This window comes from Homo sapiens, chromosome 17 (assembly GCF_000001405.40).
Source record: "Homo sapiens chromosome 17, GRCh38.p14 Primary Assembly".
NCBI lineage: Eukaryota > Metazoa > Chordata > Mammalia > Primates > Hominidae > Homo > Homo sapiens.
The window spans coordinates 13,111,749-13,115,706 of record NC_000017.11 but is presented as its reverse complement, the minus strand read 5'-3'; the positions used below and the strand labels follow the sequence as shown (position 1 = coordinate 13,115,706).

General features: G+C 47.3%; 1 annotated feature.

Annotated features, from left to right (window-relative positions):
• Window positions 565-3,377: an enhancer, noted in NCBI's record as "VISTA enhancer hs1497". NCBI's record gives its function as "enhancer in: facial mesenchyme[3/5]" and the evidence as "EXISTENCE:transgenic organism evidence [ECO:0001131][PMID:17130149]".

Here is a 3,958-nt window from a genome sequence, read left to right as displayed (position 1 = left end):
CCAGGATGGTCTCGATTTCCTGACCTCGTGATCCGCCCGCCTCGGCCTCCCAAAGTGCTGGGATTACAGGAGTGAGCCACCGCGCCCGGCCCAGAAACGGGGATTTTTTTAACCGGGAAAAGAAAACACCCCAGATGTGATTGCTGTCTCTGAATAACTTCAGGACTGTCAGGAAAATGATGAGGTTCACTTCGTATGTTTCCAGAGAGAAGGACTAGGCCACCGGACTGCAGCTATAGGAGAGACAACATGGTTCTCCAGATGAAACCAGCTGCCCCCAGCGGCGGGCAGCTCACTGCCACCCACTGTATTCCAAGCCCGGCCCACTGGACCGGTCATCGGGGACCCCCTTTAAGCCTTCCTGCTAGAAGATTCTTTTTTCTAAAGTCGAAGGCTGCAGAGTTGACTAGGAGAGGACAGAGCTTTTCCTTCAGGTGAAAGGGAATGACTGTCATTCATTCTCAAAGTGGAAAGCCACGTACTGGCAGGTGCACTCCCAGGTCAACGCGGAAGTCATGAGTTTTGCGGGTTTTCTGCTTAGGCTGGATGGAAGCTACTGTCTTCCTCGAAACGTGTGAAAGCAATGAGATCATTCCTCTTCTCTGAGGTGGGGGAGATGGGGAGACCGGCCTGAGATACAAAAAGAAAATTATGAGGTAGGGACTGGGCGGGGGGACCCAGAGGGAGGACTGAGAGCGAGAGCCAGGGAGGCAGGCAGACAGTAGGCTGGGCAAAGCCAGAGGAGAGAGGCTGCGGGAGGTGAGAGTCTGAGCCGAGAGTGACCCCAGGTTGAATCAGGGATAAACGCTGGAATGGGCTGTAACCAGGAATGAGACGTCTGGCATTTTGTAATTTCTGGAGAATTCCTCTTAAATTCCCTTTCCCTTCAGTAAACATGATGAAAAACCACTGCCCGCCATGTGTGTGGTCTCCGTGGCACACAAGAGTGAGGGTCACAGCCAGGACAGGGAGACGGGAGCCCAGGAGCGGAAGAGCAGAGGGGCAGCCCGCCCTCTCCTGGCCTCACGGCGAAACTGCTCAACACCGAGGCTCTGAGGCCGAATCCTAGCTTAGAGATGGGCACCTCGCAGCAAGGAAAACGTCATGGACAGCAAGCATCTTGCCTAGCAGCAAACAACATAGTGCCTTTCTCTATCTGGAAATCTCATTAGAATGCAGGACGCAGAGAGCTGAAACCATCTTCTCAGCCAACTAGAAATTTTGCAAAGAAATGATTTTTGAAAATGATTGTGAAGCAGAATTGGCAGAAGCATCATCATCATCTCTCCTATTTGTCTGGTGACACTCAGTTTGCAAAAACCCTTTCGCACGTGCCCTCTCATAATACCCGCATGGAGTATTGTTTTCCTCCTTTGCAGAGGAATGCTGTCTGCAGGCATTCCTATAGGTACATTGCACACCCACGGTGCCACATCTCCCGGCTTGTCCTTCCGTCTTGAGTCCTCTGTTCCATCCAACCCAAGGGCCCTAAGAACTTGCACAATAAATGCAGAAGTCTTTGTGACCGTCATTCAGACACAAGCCAGTCCCTGCCTCTGTTCGCTCAGAACTCCCAAGATGACTGGCAGCCAAGATCTCAAGCCATTCACTGCACTCTCAAGGAACCTGTGCTAGGAAGACAGAATGAGGGCGAGGTCTCCGGCATTCGTGGATTATACACATGCGCCCACACGCGACCCACGTCATTCCTTGCTTTATAGCATTACTGGAGAGTTCATAAAAAAAAGCAGGCTTTTCTTCTCAGCAGAGTTGAATGCTTTGTAATTGCAAGATAATAAAGGAAAGATGGGGTGGCATAGGCTGCCTGCAGCTTTTCCTGATACCTGCCAGTTAAACTTCTGACACCAAAGTCACCCTGCCATTTGAATCGATCAAGCCAGGCTAGAACTAGGAAAACAAGAAGGTCAGTAGCAAATGAAGTAAAGCCCTCTTGTCTTATCCTGGCAGAGGTGGTGAGCCCCTTAGCACCTTGTCAAACACTAAATTTAATCCCAGTTTTATTTTCAAATCACTTTTTTAAAATGCACTAACCATTAAAAGATAGGGGAAAAGGTCCTTTTAAAATGATTTATTATGTGTTAACAGCTAAAGAAAACCTAAACAATGTCTCCATAAAGACTCACGATCACGTTTTTAATTAAGAGCCACAACTTTTAATGGAAGGCATAATATGCCCATTCATTGCAGGACACTGGGCTCCTCTGGGTAACCCAGCAGTCAAGCTCAGGGGAGGAGTAACGACTTTCAGTTCACACCTCAAAGTCTCCTGTTAAAGAAAATAACAATAAAATAAGATCACTTGAAACCTTTTGAGTTTGGGAATTTTAACCCAGAGAAAGGGTGCATTTTGCTCAATTACAGGGACGCTTTTTCCTGGTTCGGGGCCCACAATAGCCCGCTCAGTGCTCTGAGTGCCTCAGACACCCCCTAAGTCTTAGCAGGTAAGTGGGCTGTGCTCAAAGTGCCCTGTGTGTGTGCTGCCTGGTAAATTCCTGCCCATACCCAGGGGAGGCTGCGCCCCCTGAGAAACAAACTGTTACTTACTGTCTCTTTCTCAAACTGGCCCCTTAACAGCTTTTTCTTCCCTAGCTCTTTTATTTAAGACTGAAAGTTAACAATCTAGGAGGACAGAGTGCTGTGTCCTTTTGTATGGCCCCGCAAGGTGTATGGTATCAGGCACCATTTATCTATTGCCAGCTTCACTCCCTTAGCCCTGGCAACAATGAAGTAAAAGTATGAAGTGAGCTCATCATTATCTCCGTTTACAGATGGGGAAACCGAATCTTGGCGAGGATAAGGAATTTGCTCTTGTCATTAAACAGTACAAGAGACTATGGGCCGAGGCAGGGTGGATGGGAGATGGGGTTCAGGATACCCTAAAACATGGTACATTCACATTTGAGAAAACAGCAGAAACAGGAAAGTGACTCTCACCTTCTTCTGCCCTTCTCCCCTGAATCAGGTCCCAGGATTCTCGTTCCACGGGGGCTCTTTCTATGCCCAGAGGAAAGGAACTTTCTTCTCTCTGAAGACGCAGGGTCACAGAGAAGAATCTGAACAAATCAGCTTTGCTAAGTTCCCACAAGTTTCTTGCATACTTTTAAAAAATACAGTCACTCTTCTCCAGGTCTACTTAGTTCTCCATCAAACCAAGCACTGAAAATACACAGGTTTACCTGTTTCTTTGTGACTTCATTTCTGAAGTTTCCCGTATTACATAAACTTATTACATAAATTTGTTATGCTTTCCTTTTGTTAATTGTTTTTGTCACAGGGGCTTCAGCCATGAACATAGCAATGGGTGGGGGAAGATGGTTCTTTTCCCCTACTTGGGGCTGGAGATATGGACCCCATTCTTCCCCTCAAAGAGTGTTAGGTCTTGTTGGGAAGGCAGGATTTGAGCATACAGAAGCAGAACTAACCACACAGGACCACTACTCTAAGGGCCCATCGGGGCCAGGCATGGTGGTCCACACTTGTAATCCCAGCATTTTGGGAGACCAAGGCAAGCAGATCTCTTGAGTCAGGAGATACAAACCAGCCTGGCCAACATGGTGAAACCCTGTCTCTACTAAAAAATGCAAAAAAAAAAAAAAAAAATATATATATATATATATAGCTGGGTGTGGTGGTGCATGCCTGTAATTCCAGCTACTCAGGAGACCGACGCAGAAGAATCACTTGAACCTGGGAAGCGGAGGTTGCAGTGAGCCAACATCACATCACTGCACTCCAGCCTGGGTGTTAGAGTGAGACTCTGTCTCAAAAAAAGAAAAAGAAAAGAAAAAAAATAGGGAACTAATGGGATAGATAGATAGTACCACTAAAGTTCAGAGAGGGGAACACCAGCTTCTGCATTTAAGACAGAGGGGGGATTCAATCTTGACCTTGGGACACACAGTTTCCAAAAGCAGGAGGTGTAAGAACAAAGTAATGA